The 18,346-nt window shown below is 55.2% G+C and overlaps 1 long non-coding RNA gene and 2 pseudogenes across 4 annotated transcripts in view, besides 1 other annotated feature; 2 read left to right on the top strand and 1 right to left on the bottom strand.

Annotated features, from left to right (window-relative positions):
• Positions 1-932: 932 nt before the first annotated feature.
• Positions 933-1,798, bottom strand: LOC105371848 (uncharacterized). 3 transcript variants are annotated; one of them, XR_007065868.1, is made up of 2 exons: positions 1,721-1,798; positions 933-1,263 (listed from the first exon to the last, which is right to left on the bottom strand). It is a non-coding gene; the product is annotated as an uncharacterized LOC105371848 (long non-coding RNA). The 3 variants fall into 3 exon arrangements; XR_007065869.1 differs by having other exon boundaries at positions 1,717-1,757; XR_001752958.2 differs by having other exon boundaries at positions 1,425-1,741.
• TBC1D3P1 (TBC1 domain family member 3 pseudogene 1) lies at positions 1,892-13,005 on the top strand (annotated as a pseudogene).
• Positions 1,892-18,346, top strand: part of TBC1D3P1-DHX40P1 (TBC1D3P1-DHX40P1 readthrough, transcribed pseudogene) — a 56,690-nt pseudogene continuing 40,235 nt past the window's right edge. Inside the window, exons 1-3 of the transcript NR_002924.3 lie at positions 1,892-2,002; positions 3,445-3,517; positions 6,535-6,644. The product of NR_002924.3 is annotated as a TBC1D3P1-DHX40P1 readthrough, transcribed pseudogene (transcript). The remainder of the gene's footprint in view (positions 2,003-3,444; positions 3,518-6,534; positions 6,645-18,346) is intronic.
• Positions 9,887-10,386: an enhancer, noted in NCBI's record as "H3K4me1 hESC enhancer chr17:58087919-58088418 (GRCh37/hg19 assembly coordinates)". NCBI's record gives its function as "activates a minimal SCP1, AML or CMV promoter by ChIP-STARR-seq in naive H9 embryonic stem cells {active_cell/tissue: H9 hESC(naive)}" and the evidence as "EXISTENCE:reporter gene assay evidence [ECO:0000049][PMID:30033119]".

The following is an 18,346-nucleotide window of genomic DNA, read 5'->3' as shown; positions in this document are numbered from 1 at the left end:
CCCGTGCTGCTCCCCGGATAGTGAGGTAGTTCTCAGGAGAGCTGATAGTTTCAAAGTGTGGCACTTACTGGTTCTCCACTCACTCCCTCCTGCCGTCTTGTGAAGAAGGTGCCTGCTTCCCCTTCCCCTTCTGCCATGATTGTAAGTTTCCGGAACTGCAAGTCAATTAAGCCTGTTTCCTTTATAAATTACCCAATCTCAGGTATTTCTTTACATCAGTGTGAAAACAAATGAATACAGTCCCCTTCCCTGAGGTGCCTTCCCCTTAGGCAACCAGCTGCCCCCATGCTCCTCTTCTGCCCCCTGGTATTTCCTTTCCCCTCATGAGGCCCAAGTGATCCACATGGCCAGCCCCAGCCCCATCCTACTGCAGGCCTGTGTGGCTGCTGGAGAGGCCAGGCTCCTTTCCGCACCCCGAGGCTGCCCGATATGCTTTCTGGATCCTGTAGAAAACTGACCCACTATTCTCATACCGGTGCAACTTCTTCCAATACCTCAAAACTGGACAACGTGAACTTATCTTGTTGCTTGTCTCTTCTTGCTAGGGCTGTCATTGGGACAGTCCGAGATGGGGGGGTGGGGGGAGACAATGGATGAATGGATGGATGAATGGACAGTAGTCCAGGGAGATGTCCCTGTGTGTCCTGAACTGGGCCCTTCCTCCAATGAGAAGCCTTCCTGAGTGAGTTTCTACAGTCATCCCTTGGTATCCATGGATTAGTTCTAGGGTCCCCGGGGATGACAAAATCCATGGATCCTCAAGTCTCTGACATAACATGGCCTAGTATTTACATATCAGCTATGCACATCCTCCTGTAGACATTAGACCATCTCTAGATTATTCAGGATGTGTAATACAATGCAGATGCTACATAAATGGTCATGATACTGTATTCTTTAGGGAATAATGACAAGAACAAAGTCTGCACATGTTCAATAGAAATATAACCATCCAATTTATTTTCTGAATATTTTCCATCTGCTGTTGCTGAATCTACAGATGCAGAGCTCCTGGATATGAGAGCCAAGTGTGCTTTGAGAGTAGGGTGGGTGAGGTTGCTAATGAGTACAGGGGGACAGGTGTTGATCAGGAGGACCCTGCACTGGGGCATCTGGACGTCCTGCCTCAGGACTTGAGACTCCAGTTGGATGGCACAGGCAGACTCGGCACAGGCAGACTCAGCCCAGGTCAAAGCCGTCCCCTTGAAGTTTCATTTTATCCCAAGCTCTTTCTGGACCCTGGAATTTGGCATCCCCTAGGCCCTGCGTGGAAGGACAGATGAATCAGGTTTTAGATAACATGTCTAGAAGAGTGAGCCCCTACTGTGTGCCCGGCACTTTCCTCACAGGATCCTCTAGCTAGAATATCCAAGGGTCATGGAGAGAAATACCCAGTTAAAATATCAGAAATGAAAAAGCGATACCATTAGAGACACTAAAAAGACCATTAGGTAATAGTATTAGCTTTTGTATTCTGAGATCCAGCAGCAGCAGCAGTCACTTCCCTCCACCCCTATGTGTATCCCAGGACCACCCTGGGCAGGGAGGGCTGAGGTTAGGGAGCAGCCATGGATGCTCTGATGCTGGCCCTGGGCGCTCTGATGCTGGCCCTGGGCCTCGGGGGTGACAGTGATGAGGAACTGGGTGCACACATGAGTGGGGCAGCCGGGCCTGGCCAGAGAAGCAACACACATGTGCACAGACATGTTTAGCCACATACACGTGTGCACGCACGTGCACAAACACATTGCAGGCAGGCATGTTGACGCCTCAGGCAGCGGAGGACCCTGACTCTGGGCGCTGCTGACCCGGGCAAGGCCCCATTGTGATGCGTGCCATGACCTCAGAATGTCACTGGTGCTTAGCACCTATCCGCTCTCTGGCCTGCCTCAGTGTTCTACGGCAGTTACACACAGGCAGTGGTATCTGTGAGCAGCTCTGTGGACTCAAAGGTTTTCTCCCTGAGAGGCATGACCCAGGCCAGCTGATTCATCAGAGTCAGGTGAGCGTGACCTGCTCTCTTCCCTCCAGGCGGACTTGGAGACAGTGGCTACGGTGCGGGCGGTGTTGGCCTCTGTGGGGCAGCTACCGAGGAGGGTCATCCCTGAGCACTCACCAGGCGCCCGTTCTACACTGCCCGTGTAGACGATTGGCTCTTTCGTCTCCATGGTGGCTTCGTAGAGTGGGTGCTGTTCCCAAATGTAACCATTCGACAGATGAGACGTCTGGGGTCAGAGAGGCAGTAACCGGCCTGGGAATCCGGACATGACCCTGAGTTTTGCTCTCAGCCCTGCCGTGTGCTGTGCTGGAATTCAGGCCTGAACCCTGTGACCTCCCTGCCCTAGATCCCAAATCTGCCCAGGTTTCCGATCCCGATGGGGCAGAGCCTGGTCCTGGCAGAGCCACTGGTACAGATCCACTGGTACAGATCCACTGGTATAGATCCACTGACGGTCCTCAGAACACCTCTGTGCCCTAAGCTGGGTCCCGATGGTCGCTGTGGGCCCCACTGAACACACATGGTCCCTTGTCCGGGGGAGCCTGCTGCCCTTGGGCAGCTGTGGAAAATGAAGGAGCCCTGGAGGGCTGGCTGAGGGGAGACTATCTTCCCTTCTGTTCAAAGGGGTCCGGGCACTAGGGTTCTCCCCAGGCATTTCTTGCTCTGTGTGGTCCTCTTGAGGCCTCGCCCTCCTTTTGCCTCGAGTATTCCCAGGAGGGACGGTCCATCCAGGTGTTCTCCAGGACCAAGGACCCACTGTTCTTCCTCAGTGACCCAGGAAAATGAAGCCTCCTCCTGTTGGGACGGCTCAGAATGGTGGACTCCACAGTCCCTCCGCAAGAGACGTGGTTTCCATGCGTACAATAGATCTTTCTCATCCCCCAAACCGAACACCCTCCTGCTCAACAGGCGTTATTCCTGAAGTGGCTTCACTGTTCAGACTGAAGAGCCACGGTAGCCAAAGTGATGAGCGGAGTAGAACCGAGCAGTCAGGAGAGATCTTGTTCCCTGTAGGAAACTGGGCATCTCTGAGGCCCTGAGCATCCCAGGAGGCCGATTGTACAGAGACCTCTGGTCGCTGACCCCAGTCTGCCTCCACATCCCTGGAATAGCCCATCATGGGCCCTTCACCCTTGGCAGGTGGAAACCATTCAACCTGCTGGGGCCGGTGTGTCCCCATTTCATGGCACTGGGGGACAACAGGATTCTCTGTCTAGGTCCCACTGTACTCAAGTCCTTGGGAAGATGCCCACCCCTGCTTGGGACTTGAGACTCCAGAGACTCGAGCAGCTGTGGGCCACTGGGTCTGGCCCCTTTTTCCCTGGGGGCGGCGGTGGAATGGGGGTTACGCAGCCAGCCAGCATCTGGGAGCCCGGCGAGAGCGGTTCAGGTGTTCTCCGAAGCCGCCGCGTACAGTGTAACCTTTAGACAATTTTGTCTCACAGGATGGACGTGGTAGAGGTCGCGGGTAGTTGGTGGGCACAAGAGCGAGAGGACATCATTATGAAATACGAAAAGGTACAAGTCGGTCTGCTTCTTGGAGGGAGGCCTCTTCCAGTGTGCCCTGGTCAAAGGGTCCTGGGCTCCCTAGGAGCACAGGGCAGGGACGGGTGGCCAATGCCCCCAGGCCCTTGCACCCTTTACCTTGGACCCCTCACCAAGGCTCCCTCTGGGCTACAGGGACACCGAGCTGGGCTGCCAGAGGACAAGGGGCCTAAGTCTTTTGGAAGCTACAACAACAACGTCGATCATTTGGGGATTGTACAGTGAGTCCTCTGCACTCCCCTCACCCCTAAAGCACCTGTCTCAGCTCAGGGATGGGTTTGCTTTTAGAAAGGCCTTTCTGATGCAGGACATGTCTCACCAGGTCGGGTCAACCTCCTTTCCAGGGACAGAACTCCTCCCTGACTCCCCTGCAGGTCCAGCCCGAGGTTGTTGTTAGGCCAGAGGTGTGGGGCCCATCTAGGGAGCTGGTGGGAATGGAGACTGGGCTAGGTCAGGCCCCTGGGCGCTCAGCAGTTCTGTCGGCAAGTGAGCACAAGAGGAGCTGGGCAGCCTGAGGGTCTGGCCCTGTCTACTTGGAGACAACCCCGGTGAGATGCAAGGGTTATGGCCACAGGGTGAGGGGACGCCTGGCCCGGCCTCAGGGCTGTTGTCCAGCAGGTCTCTGAGGGCCCACCTGCCCCTGTTCTCCCCCATGCCCCTAGAGCTATGGCCCTCACTGTCCCGTGAGGGGAAAAGGCATGGTGACAATGGGGGCTGTAGCCCTAGGAGAACGGGGGGAAGATGGGCAGGGCCCCGTTCTGGGCATCTCACGGTGAGGCCGGGGAGGCAGCAGGGCTCGCGGCTAAAGACCTGGGTCTGGTGCTGGGAAGGGATCTGGGGCCGGGTAAGAGGAGCCCAGCCAGGAGCCCATCCCTCAGGGATCACAGGATGGAGAGACAGAGGATCCCAGGGGAGGTAGGGCGGGAGGGAGCTGATGAGCCGTGCCACTTCTGAAACGCAGGGTGTGTGGCTCGGGTGCAGGGAGAGGCAGGTGGATGCTGGGAGGTCAGAACCTGCAAGGGCCTTGGGGCTGTCAAGTGGGATGGGCCCCTGGTGCACCCAGAGTACACGGGGCAGGTCTCAGGGCAGGCTCCCTTGACCCTGGCGGGGTGATGTGGTCACTCCCTGAGGGACTCCTGTCAGGGCCCGGTCACCCACCCTGGGCGGCCCCCATCCCATCTCAGGGCTAACCTTTCTCAGCTCCAGCAGAAAGCACCACCTCGAGTCCAGGACGGGCAGCCCCACTGGGCAGCCTGACCGCCCCCCACGCCAGGGGCCCCAGTAACCCCGGCCAGGCTGTCCCTACACTCCTTCTTCTCCCAGGTCCTGCCCCTCCTGGGAGTCAGCCCCACAGGAAGGCCCTTGTCCTCCCTTCCCTGTGCCTTCTCCTGGGCTGAGCCCTGAGCTGGAAAGGGACAGAGCCAGTCCTTTCTGGGGGCCGGCACCCAGGCTGGGGCCGCTCCAGGCCCCGTGCAGTTCCTCAGCTCTGCCTGGGTTGCCTTACAGTGAGACGGAGCTGCCTCCTCTGACTGCGCGGGAGGTGAAGGTAAGAGCCTGATGCATGGAGGGGCTGGTCCAGGGACGTAGGGACTGGGCGGGTGGTCAGTGAGGCAGAGGAAGCAGCTGGCCTGAGCGGTGGCGGGTGAGGGCAACGCGCTGTCACTGGGAGGGGCAGCAGTCCCTGCTGGACCTGACCCCAGGTTGCTGTTAACTTTGGCAGTTTGATAAAATTCCAAAAGGAGAACCACAGTCCTGGCTTGGGGGTGGCTGCGCGCTTGTGTCAGGATCCCACCTAGAGGCTGGGACCTAAGACTGGTGTGGCTGTGGCCTGAGGATGGTACATCCCGGGGTCCCAAAGCCAGCCCACTGGTGCTCATTTGCTCAAAGGCTCTCAGCCCTTGAGGTCTGCCCTTCCCTGGCTCCTTCCAGCTGGCTCCCACCAGGGCTCCAGAGCCCAAGACCCAGCATCCGCGGGCGGCTCTGGGAAGCCTGGCAGCTCCGCTAACTCCAACATGCCTCATTTGACAGCAAATTCGGCGGGAGATCAGCCGAAAGAGCAAGTGGGTGAAAATGCTGGGAGAATGGGACACCTACAAAAACAGCAGAAAGGTAATGTGTGGAGGGAGGAAGCACTCTCTGCAGAGACAGGGGACAGGCACCCATGGCTGTGGCCTGGCGCCGTCAGCCTCTCAGAGGGTGGGTGGCACGCTGTCCTCGCCCAGAGGACTGCAGGCCTGGTCGCCAGATTTCCTGCCTATTCGTGCAAGCGTCACCTTGCTGGGAGGGAATCTGAATCTAGGGCTGGGACTACCCGGAGCTCAAGGCTAGGGATGCCCTGGTGACCTGAAGGAAGGAAAAGGTTCAGATCAGAGTTTCGACTCTGAGTGTCCATCCACTCTTTCAGTCCTGGGAAGGGAGACCCTGTCCCAGCTTGATCTCACCTCTACTGAGGAATCATGGGGCCAAAACCAACAATTTCCAGAATCCCCGGGCTCTGGTCCTCACTGGGGTCACCCCGTGGCCTGCGACACCAGATTGTTTTCTGCCCACAGCTCATAGATCGAGCGTACCAGGGAATTCCCATGAACATCCGGGGCCCGATGTGGTCAGTCCTCCTGAACATTGAGGAAATCAAGTTGAAAAACCCCGGAAGATACCAGGTACGCTCAGCCAGAGCACAACCAACAGGACAGGCCGTGTCAGGGGCCCAGGTCTCCAGCTGGAGGGAACGTCAAGACCACCCTGGGGAGCTGGGGGTGAAGGTCAGATGAACACCCTGGGCACAGATGGTGACACAGTCACCACAGACAAACTCAGCTCTGGTGACCCTCCCTGGCTTCAGTAACAAGCCAAAATGCAGCTTTCTGCAGAAGGAAACCTTCCTTCTGTCCTTCCTTCCCGAAGTGCTGACTGTGGGCTGACTGCCACTGGGGGCAGGGAGTCTTCCATCTGTTCTGAGACTGCTTCCTCCTCTTGGCCCTGCCCTACAGATCATGAAGGAGAAGGGCAAGAGGTCATCTGAACACATCCAGCAGATGGACCTGGACGTAAGCGGGACATTAAGGAGGCATATATTCTTCAGGGATCGATACGGAACCAAGTAAGCCACAGGGTCCCAGCAGAGATGGGGTGAATGAGAGGGATGGGGGCTTCCCCGGAGCAGAAGCCAGGGTCACCCAGGAGGGATGACACAGCTGCCAAGAGCTCTCCTGGCCCAGGGAGCAGCCGGCACCATGAACCGAGCACCTCCCTGGTTCCAAGCCCTGGGCCAGACTGGAACATGTGGGGCCAGAACCCAGGAGGATCCTGAGGAGATGGAAGGCAGCAAACAAAATCATGCACAATGGTGAAAGGTGCTCTCCCTGACCCATGGGGACCCATGGTAGGAGCCACGGGAGGGTGGCAGGATAGAGGGCACCAAATGCTGGGAGAATTAGGGGTCCTGGAAACTCTCATCCAGGTCTGCTGGGAACATGACATGGCACAGCCACGTTGGCAGCCAGTTGGGCAGTGGCTCACAAAGCTCGATGGACTTGAACCACGCATCCCCAAAGTGTCACAGAGATTGAACCCACTGATTTGGAAACTGACATCCACATGAAACCTGCATGCCAGGTTCACTGCTTGACTCCTCGTCACTCACACACGGAGCCTTCGGGGACGGCCTTCAACACGGGAATGGGGAGAGCAAGGCTGGTCCTCCCTTCAAACGGAAGACCCAGTGAGAAAAGGGAACGAGCCAGTGATGCCCGCACGAACGTGGGTGGATCCTAGATGCATTTTGCTGAGGGACAGAAGCCAGACCCAATAAGCTACCACAGTAGGATTCCCATTCCTAGGCCATTCTGGAAAAGGCCAAACCACAGGGACTGAGAAGCAGTCTGGGTGGCCAGGGGCTGACGGATCGGGGAGAGGCTGGGTGCATAGGGGCCACCCTGGAGACTTGGAGGATGAAGGAGTCGCCCCAGGAGGGGCTGGAGCGGTGGCCGGGAGACTCTGCACATTGGTTTGGAACCGTGGAGGAACTGTACACCCACAGACTGAACTGGGGTGTGTGCAAACTGAAAAAAAAAAAAAAAATCATTCAGAGTGAAAAGGATCAGGCACTGTACAACTGGGCTATTTGCATGTCACAGATGTGGATTTTACTGAAACATTTCTTCAAGAGTCTCAGGCCCTGAAGAGCTCACTGCTTATCCGGTGAATCATCTGAACCTGAAATGGGATTTGCTGTTAGGCTTTGTAGACAAAGTGAAATTAACAACATCTGCACAAAACAAACCAAAGCCCCCTTTCTCTGTTTCCTAGGCAGCGGGAACTACTTTACATCCTCCTGGCGTATGAGGAGTATAACCCGGTGAGTATTCCCGGCAGTGAGGTTCCCGGGCCATATTTCCATATTCACAGGAGTGGGTGTCTGGTGGGGGTGTCGTTGCTTCTTTTAAAATTAGTATTTGTGACCCACCAGGATATAGGAAGTAGGATGTCAGCTCACTGCTGGCATAAACCTCCAAGGAAGGGGGTGGTCTCAAGGGGTCAAGCTGATACACAAAGGAGTCAGGGCCTGGACTCCTGGTGTCACCTGGGCCTGACCACCACTTCTCAGAACAAGAAATGACGCCGTCCTCCTGGGGCTGCCCCAAAGCCCAGGAGCTTGGCAGCATCGCACACAGGATGGTGCTATCAGCAGACATTTTGGACAAGGTGCTGAAGTGCCTGATGGACTTGGCTCTTGTCATGAAATGAATGTGCATCCTGAGGAAGCCTCTTTTTCAGAGGAAGCCTCTCCTTCAGAGGAAGCCTCTCCAGTCACCTCTGCCCTCTCCAATGACATGAGTCCTCCCAGGTGAGCTCAGCCCTCCCAGCTGATGTCCTTCCATGGTGACTCTGGCTCTTGCAGGAGGTGGGCTACTGCAGGGACCTGAGCCACATCGCCGCCTTGTTCCTCCTTTATCTTCCTGAGGAGGATGCATTCTGGGCACTGGTGCAGCTGCTGGCCAGTGAGAGGCACTCCCTGCAGGGTAAGTGAACAGCTGCCCCGGGGACCTCCTGCAGCCAGACCTGGGGATGGCCACCCTGGCCAGGTGATCACAGCTTTCAGCCAAGGCACCCTCCTTGTGTCACCAGCTTGTTGGGAGACTTTAGGATGTCTCTGCTGAGGGTCCCACAGGAGTCCACGGCTGACCCCCAAAGCCCAAATCAGACGCCTCTCATCCCCATCAGCAGAGGGCATCTCATCCTCCCCGTGGCCACCCTCTGTGTCCTGGAGCCACGCCCTCCGGCTCTGATTCTGTGCAGCTGACTCTCCCCCTCCCTGAGAGTCCTCCTGCCCTCCAGCTGCCCGGGCTCCTGCTGCCATCGGTGCCCACGAATGGGCCGACCAAGCCCAGGTGGCAGCATCTCCCCATCCCCTGTTCCCTGGCCCGACCCCACTACCAGGAGATGACCAGGAAGCCCAGCACCCACCCAGTTCCAGCCGCCCTGTGGTGGCCTGAAAGTCAGGCTTGCCCTTTTTGCACCCTGGCCCAGGAGGCCTCCAGGGGAACCTCCAGCCAGGCTCCAGGGACTGTTCCCGCCCCACCTCCCCAGGGTAAAGGCCGCATGTTGGGGTCACCAGATGGGAGGGTGGGAGGCCTTGGGGTTTGGGGGCCTCTCCAGCTGCCCAGCTCTTGCAGCTGATGGCTCCACATCTTGGGGGAAGGCTCTGATTTCACGATGGGCTGGGGGCTTCTCAGGATTTCACAGCCCAAATGGCGGGACCGTCCAGGGGCTCCAAGACCAACAGGAGCATGTGGTAGCCACGTCACTACCCAACACCATGTGGCATCAGGTGAGTTTATGGTCCCCTCAGCTCTTCCCAGAGGCCCTGCCTCCCGTGGGGCTGTAGGAGCAGGGGGGCTGGAGCCCCTCGTGGGGCTGGTGACTGGCTGAGTCCCAGCCAGGGCCTGACCTGGGACGTCGGGTTCTCCATGGGCTGGGAGTTGGTTTCCTTTCCTGCCCTGGAGGAGACAGAGGCACAGGGATGGGGGCCCAGCTCCCGCAGAGCAGGGCAAAGGGCAGCGTGTCCACCGGGAGTGTGGGAAGGTGACAGTGTTGTGGGGAGCTCTGGACACCGCCCAGTGTTCTGCACTAGGGGAAGGGTCTTCAGAGGCCCTGGAAGAGGGAGGTTTTTAGGGCAGCCCAGTGGCCTGAGCACCTCTGTTGCTTCCATCAGGACAAGAAAGATCTATGTGGGCAGTGTTCGTCCTTAGGCTGCCTCATCCGGATATTGATTGACGGGGTAAGGAGGCATAGGGAGACCCTGGCTCAGGGACCCTCCTTGCCCTGCAGTGCCCTGCTTCCCCAGCCCGGGGGTCTGGCTCACTCCCAGCCCACAGGAGGCTCAGGCGGGTCCCCAAAGGACACACAAGCAAAACCCTCTGCCCAAGAGGGGTCATCCCAGGGCAATGGCTGGGGCTCAGGCCCAGCCTCATGGGCAGACTGGGCCAGGACCCGACTTGAGAGGGCTCAGGGAAGCCTCAAGCCCTGGGCAAGCCCCTCTCTCCAGGAGCCACATCCCCACTCAAATGAGTGCCTCCCATGAGGAGCTTCAAGACCTTGTCTGACCCAGCGTCCTGGAGGGCTCAGGCGACCCTCATGGGGAAGGAAGGTCACTGACTCAGGAGACTGAAGCCCCAGTGTGCGCAGCTCGAGCCACCAGCCCCAGCCTGGAAGGACCAGGTTCTTTCACACCTGCTGTCCCCACAGATCTCTCTCGGGCTCACCCTGCGCCTGTGGGACGTGTATCTGGTAGAAGGCGAACAGGCGTTGATGCCGATAACAAGAATCGCCTTTAAGGTTCAGTAGAGTAAGTCTACGTGTGCCCAGCGGGGCCTGGGGAGCCCTGGGGTCAGACCCCGACTGGCCCGAGGGCAGCTTCCTCACACTGTCCTCATGATCCTCTGTTCTGGCCCAGAGGGAGGTCTGGCCAGGTGGGCTGGGCAGGACACTGTGACACCGAGCCCATTCCCCACATGACCCAGATGAAAGTCGAGAGTGTGGTGAGCACTTCCCTGTCCAGATCACCCCCCAGCCACAGTCTCCTGTGTATATCTGGACGCCTGGGGTGGCCACAAAAGGATCCGGCACCGCCCAGTGGGAGACTGAAGTGGCCACGGGGTATGAGCTGTGACCATTCCCAGGTAACTCCCCTGGCCTGATATCCACCCTGTCCCTAGAGCGCCTCACGAAGACGTCCAGGTGTGGCCCGTGGGCACGTTTTTGGAACCGGTTCGTTGATGCCTGGGCCAGGGATGATGACACTGTGCTCAAGCATCTTAGGGCCTCTATGAAGAAACTAACAAGAAAGCAGGGGGACCTGCCACCCCCAGGTGGGCTCCAGTGCCATGTCCCCTCCCATGTCACCCTCTGGGGTAGTCAATAGTAGGGGAGTGCCCGGGACCCGCAACCCTACTACCTGGGCCTTCCTCTTCACCTTTTCTTCCTCCTCTTCCTCCTGGACTCTAAGAAAGTACAGGAGGCCCACCGGTCCTCAGGGCAGGCGCTCAGTGCGTGTATACTGGACATGCTGTGCACGCAGGAGGGGGATGTGGGCGAGACCCTCCAACAAGCCCCCTCCCACTTTCTGCGGTGTCTCCCTCTCCCCCTCGCAGGGCCCTCCAAGTTACTAGCCGAGCCCAGACCCATTTGTGGGAGACCCCGCCCCTCCCTGCAAGCACCCACAGCCTCAGAGAGCAGCAGAGGCCCCTCACTCCTGCACGCTCCTCCAAGCTTGCCAGGACAACGAGCCTGGAGCCAGGGAGACAAGGGAATCGGTGTCCCTGACCCACGGAGCTTTCAGGGAGAGGGCGCAGGCGGGACCCCGGGCCCAGGGCCAGAGCCAAGAGTTCAGCCAGAAGTGGGAACGGTCAGTCCTGGCATGGACTGGGCAGCCCAGGAGGGCAGAGGGTGACCCACGTCCGGGCCCAATCACCCACTGCGGAGAGGGGTCCCCACCTGAGGTGGCAAGGGGCTGGGTGACATCCAAGGCCCCTCCCACCTGAGTTCTGACTGGGGGCCGTATCCCAGGCCCAACAGCCCTGGGACGAAGGTGTGTGGCAGGAAGCCGCCAGCCAGTCTGAACCCTGGGGGCAGTCCCAGGAGCCACCCGCCATGCCACGACAGCTTCCCCACGCCAGGCAGCACGCACCCCTCCCTCTGGGATCAGCAGACTACAGGCGTGTCCTCAGTGTCAGGCCACGGGGGCCACACAGAGACCCCGAGGACTCCAGAGACGCAGGCAGGTGGGGCCCAGCCCGGAAAGGCCTGCGTGGGCTCACTGGAGATGCTGACCGCGTCTGTTTTCCTTTCAGCCAAACCCGAGCAAGGGTCGTCGGCATCCAGGCCTGTGCCAGCTTCACGTGGCGGGAAGACCCTCTGCAAGGGGGACAGGCAGGCCCCTCCAGGCCCACCAGCCCGGTTCCCATGGCCCATTTGGTCAGCTTCCCCGCCACGGGCACCTCGTTCTTCCACACCCTGTCCTGGTGGGGCTGTCCGGGAAGACACCTACCCTGTGGGCACTCAGGGTGTGCCCAGCCCGGCCCTGGCTCAGGGAGGACCTCAGGGTTCCTGGAGATTCCTGCAGTGGAACTCCATGCCCCGCCTCCCAACGGACCTGGACGTAGGGGACCCTTGGTTCCGCCGTTATGATTTCAGACAGAGCTGCTGGGTCCGTGCCATATCCCAGGAGGACCAGCCGGCCACCTGCTGGCAGGCTGAACACCCTGCGGAGCGGGTGAGATCGGCTTTCACTGCACTGAGCCACAACGTGGGCATGGACTTCCCGGCCCTGCAGTGCGCCCAGCACTGATTCCGACCAGGGCACCCCCTTCAGAGCTAGGGACGAACAGCAGTGTGCTCCCACCTCAGGACCTTGCCTCTGCGGCCTCCACTTGGAAAGTTCTCAGTTCCCTCCAGGCTTCTAGAAGCATCTGGGCCAGGGCTCATGGCTGGATAATTTCCCTAGGCTTAACAACCCAAGCAAGCTTCGCCTCCTCGTTTTATTTTTTGTTAAACTTATGAGAATGTGTTAAGAAAGAGTGCAGCTCGAGAGACATTCAGAGATGGAACACACCAGACCCCAGATCACAAAGCCAACCATGCCCAGCCCCTCCCAACACCCCCAGCCCCACGACCATCGTTCTGAATTCTGACGACGCCGTGAGCCTGCCTTTGTACTTTAAACTCATGGAAGGATAACCACCTTCACGTTTTGAAATAAATGTTTCCTGTTGAAATGATTTTAGATTTTAGACAGAAATATTGAAAAGGCACTATAGTGTCCTCCTATACCTTCCATCCAGCTGCCCCTAATAATGATGTTTTGCAGTCCCATGGCACATAAGAAATTTAGGCCGGGTGTGGTGGCTCACACCTGTAATCCCAGCAATTTGAGAGGTCGAGGCGGGAGGTGCAGGTTCACTTGAGTCTAGAAGTCTGAGACCAGCCTGGGAAACCTAGGTGGACCCGGTCTCTAGAGAAAAGTCAAAGAAATTAGCCAGGCATGGTGGCGCGTGCCTATAGTCCCACCTAGTCAGGAGGCTGAGGCAGGAGGATTGCTGGAGCCCACGAGTTCCAGGAAGCAGTGAGCCATGATTGCACCACTGCACTCCAGCCTGGGTGACAGAGTGAGACTTTATCTCTTAAAAAAATTTAAGAAATTTAATGTGGGTACAATTCTATTAACTAAATAATAATGTGAACTATTATCTAAGGTTATGAAGGCTAGAATTATCCCATTTTTGCCTAACTTCTCGTACCTGTCCCAAGATCCCACCTTGGACTCACCCTCTGCCTTCCACTCATGTCTCTTCAGCTTCCTTCACATGGTCCAGCAAACACACACCTGGGCTGAATGGTAGAGCTGATTGCTCATACACAAAGGTAGACCGGTGGGCAGGGATTTTCAGACTTATACAGTCAATGAGTTTTCCTTGGTGTTCTGGAGAGCACCGTTGAGAAACACTTTGACAGTGAATCTAGGCCTCAGGATCCATCAGCTGCTCTAGCTTGAATTTTGCTCAAGCTCAGTGAACACCTGCTCTGCCGGGTGCACGTGAAAGGGGCAAGGATGAGTAAGCTGTAGATAAAGAAGACAGGACGCAGGGGGTCTGTCTAAGCTCTATCCCCTGCCTTCAGCACTGAGGGATGAAATCCAACTCTTAGGGAACGGTGGCCACGTGCTGGGCCAGCCCCAGGCTCTCAGGATCTGACAGTGAGTGACGCAGAACCAGGCCTTGCCCCTGGGGAGCTCTCCAGCATACACCTCCCTCTCCCCTCCCAGCGTCCCGCAAAGCAGACGTCAACGCCATTGTTAATGCACAGAGGAGGAACCTGACTGTTAGACCTGGGTTTTCCAGGGTTGCACGGCTTCTGGGAGACGGATGTGACCCTGAGGATAGGGCACAGGCCAGTGTAATGCCAGGATGGAATGAGCTGTGATCTGTGCTGCACAGAGGCCTAGGCCAAGGTGGGACTGACGGATGACCAGGTCAGCCGGGTCACTGAAAACACTCTTGGGTCCTCACCTGCTGGTTCCCAGGAGTCCGGAACTGCCAGGAGAGTGGTGGCAGGTCCCCCATCCTCAGCTGGGTGGGCCTGGATAGAACAGCAAGGCGAGGGCACATTTCCCTGGCCGTTCCCTCCAGGCACAGCTGTGACCTGCTCATTCCAATTTTGGGGAAATATTTCCACATACACAGAACTGCAAAGAGCAGTGGACATGGTGAGAGGTGTTTGGACATGGGATAGGCAGGATTTTGGAGGCAGAGCCCCCAGGGCTTGCCGATGGGTTAGCTGCAGGGCTTGAGCGGGGAAGGAGAATCCAGGATGATGTGTTCACATCGGTCCATTCGCTTCCTCCGTGCCACGCCTGTGCTGGGCACTGGGAGAGACAGATGAGCACAGGAGCACCAGGCTGGGGGAGGTGTGGGGGGAAGCCCAGAGTGTCTGGGCAGGGTAGGAAACCCAGAGCGTCTACTGGGAGCTGAAGGCTTATGTCTACCTCAATGCTGTCCGCGTTCGCTGTATGAACAAGTTCAGGCTGAGCTGCCTGGAGGAGGAGCAGCTGCTGTTGCTGGTGACCAGCACGTTCGGGAACGGAGACTGCTCTGGTAACGGAGAGATGGGTGGCCTGAGGTCTGGATGGTCTAGGGGGTGATAGGGCACAGAAGGACCCAGGAAAGGGTCTGGGGGATGCAGGACGTTCTACAGAGGGCGTTTGGGAGTCAGTGCTCAGGTCACTCCAGGTCACGCAGGTCATTTGCTGGCCTCTGTCGTAATTATTGCCATATGAGAGTGCCACCTTTCCTGCGACATAATTTAGATATTCCTGTGAATGGCCTACCTGTTTATATTTACAACTTCATGTTTAAAGGAAATTTGTATCACTCTCACAAATGGAAAGCCAGCAAAACATAAATTCAATGAAAACAAAATGAAGTCAATGAACTTTAGCTAGATGCTATTCCCTGACCAAGGCCTGCTGGAGGCGGTACAACCAGGGTTTGAATTGAGATCTGCCAAGCTTCTGAGTTTATTCTGTTTCCCCCGCACCAGGGTTCCTCAATACTGCATTACTGACATCAGGGGCCAGACGATTCTTTGCGATGGGGGCTGTCCTGCACCTGGCAGGATGTTTAGCAGCTTCTCTGGCCTCCACCCACTGGAAGCCAGGGGAATGCAGAAGAGGCTTGTTTATTCTCCCATTTAATGCTCAGGACAATATCTGACATAAATGTTATGTCTTTTATTTTATAAATGAAGAAAATGAGACTCAGAAAGGTTTAAGCGAGTCACCTAAGAACACACAGACAGCAAGAGGTAGAACCCGAAACTGAACACAGGTGTCCACATGAGACAACAAAAAAGTTCAGATTCCAGCTTCCTTTGAGTCTCTCATTTCAACAATGGCCATCATCTGCATACGAGCTGAAGTACAGGAAAGCTGGGCTGAACTCTCCTCCCATCAGGCCTAGGAGCCCCGGACCAGAACCCCAGCCCAAGGTCTCCCAGTCAGGCCCGCTGGAGGGAGCTGGCATCCACACTAGCATGGTTTCTCAAAGCTACAGGGATGCCAGTCTCGCCGCTGATGAAGAAAATGAAGGGCATTTGCTTCTCCTGCAGGCTGTCGGGATTTAACACAGATTCCTTTTCTTGCTCTCTTCTCCCGTAGCACAAAACTGGGTGGTCCATCCCCCTCCCGCTGTCCCAAGGCTTTGTTGCGTGTTCTCTTTAATTTCTCCCACTCTGGCAGTGCACCCTACCCTCGTCTCCCTGGCAACCATTCTGCTCTATCCTCTCCACACCTGGATCACAAGAACACTTGGGAGGCCCCTTAACAAGCTACATCCCAAATTATGATTCCCCTTTGTCCTCAGCCAGTGCCCAGGTCCAACTTGCTCTCCTGAGGTGACTTTCTTTCCTGCCCAATATGGTTTCCTCATCTGTAAATTGGGGATAATCGAAGTCTTGATCCTGATATTGGGCTCTCAAAGCAGAAGTAGCAAGCTCAGCCAAGTCACTTAAACAAGAGGAGACGTTCCTTGTGAACCAAAAGGGCACTGGTCACAAGGGCCGCTCCTTCTCTCAGGCCTCTCCAGCACACCCTTGGCTCAGCCAAAGAAGAGACTCAGGCTGTGCTTCTGCGCTGTGGGGATAACGTAAGTACCTGGTCCTTGACCCTGGGACTTTAACAGTTCCCTCTTGTGGCTCAGTTCTACAGCTTCAATGACAAAAAGTGGCTTTTGCTCAAAATAGCCTTTGATAGGTTAAGGTACTCCTCTGCCACTCTAAGTCTGTGTGGAACAGACAGGGTTTTGCTTCACAGAGAAGATGCATAAAATTTGGTCTTAAAAATGAGTTCACCATGCACACATACACACGAAAAAAGTAAATACTGCATTACTGTATATATGAGGTTCCAAAATAGGCAAAACTAATTTATGGTGACAGAATAGTGGTGACCTCTGAGGGTCAGTATCGACTGGGAGAGAACAGAAGAGAGCCTACTGGGGTGCTGGAAATGTTCTGTATCTTAATTTTGCAGGATAATTCCTTGGATGCATCCCTAAAAATTCAGTCAAGCTATGTAGTAAGATTTGTACAGTTTACGTAAGTAATAGGAGAGATAAGAGGGGGAACCTGTGGAGAAGCAGAACATTTCAAGATCTAGAAAGCAACATTTGCAAGGGTACACAGTGTTCAGACAGGGACCAAATCATAGAAACTACTAGGGCTTGCCATGCTGAAACGACTGACTTCAAACCATAGGGCATACATACCTTCCACTGAAGAAGAGCACCTGAGTGAAATGACTAGAGGTGCATTTCAAAGATTATTCTATTGGAAATATAAAGAACGAATTGGAGGAGTAGGAGGCAAATAGTCCAAGGGACAGATGAAGACCTTTTTTTTTTTTTTTTGAGACAGGGTCTCCCTCTGTCACCCTAGCTGGAGTGCAGTTGTGCGATCATGGCTCACTGCAGCCTCTACTTCCTGCGCTCATGCAATCCTTCCATCTCAGCCTCCCAAGTGTCTGGGACTCCAGATGTGCGGACCACACCTGGCTAATTTTTTTATTTTGTTGTAGTGACGGGAATCTCACTGTTGTTTCCCAGGCTGGTCTTGAACTCCTGAACTCAGGCAATCTTCTGGCCTTGACCTCTCAAAGTGCTGGGATTACAGGTGTGGGCTACAGTGCCTGGCCTTATTAAAATGTTGATGTAATAAATGGGACTACCTAGTGCTGTGCTTTCTCCTTAAAGGAGAAAGCTGACAGAATAAAACTAGCAGTAATAATCTGGTAAATTGTGCTTTCTACAGAGTAAATTTTGTTTGTCTCATGACATTTATGCAAATATTCAAATGTTTCAGGAATATAAACATTTAAAATTTGGGTTATAAATAATGCCTCCTGGCTCTGAAATTATCTGAATTCATGAAGCAATCAGTAGTAAATATGAAGGAAAAATGAAACACAGCCTTATATGCAAGGACAAGCACAAAGTTCTAATTCTTGTTATAATTTGGGTGCCCACCTGGTTTTGAAGGTAAGCCTTGGTTTGACTGGTTCTGAGACATTTCTCTCAAATAGCAAATGAGTAGTGGGTATGAATAGGGTACATTGGAAAGTCATGTCAAAATTCCATGTAATTTTTGGAGCGTTTTTTCTCCCATGTAATTTATATAATTTGACATGTGTATTCCTATGTAAAATATTTAACCACTTCTCTACAACAAGCATTAAGTGGGCTAATTAGTATGCTCTTCTTATTTCATATTTCTGTGATTTCTCTTATCTGGAATGACTTTTTTATGCCACCCAGGCTGGAGTGCAGTGGCACATTTACTGCTCACTGCAGCCTCAACTCCCCAGGGTCAAGCCATCCTCCTACTTCAGCTTCCCTAGCAGCTGGGACTACAGGTGTGCACCACTATGCCCTGCTAATTTTTGTGTTTTTTTGTAGAGACGGGGTTTTGCTATGTTGCCCCGGCTGGTCTTGAACTCCTGAGCTCAAGAGATCCACCCACCGCAACCTCCCAAAGTGTTGGGATTACAGGCGTGAGCCACTGCACTAAGCTTCTTTTCTAATTTGTTTTTATTCTGAGATCAGATGAGATCGGCATGTTCAGGTTGGTATGGCCATAGACTGCTTTTATCTATTCTAATAATTTTGTATTGTACAATGTGTTGGAAAGGCAAGATGAAGTTAGATTATGAAGGGTTCATTTCCATTCAATTCTGTCTATCCTTCTGGACTTGGT

Source organism: Homo sapiens, chromosome 17, assembly GCF_000001405.40.
Source record: "Homo sapiens chromosome 17, GRCh38.p14 Primary Assembly".
In the NCBI taxonomy this organism is placed as follows: Eukaryota; Metazoa; Chordata; class Mammalia; order Primates; family Hominidae; genus Homo; species Homo sapiens.
This window is presented reverse-complemented; position numbering and strand designations above follow the sequence as displayed.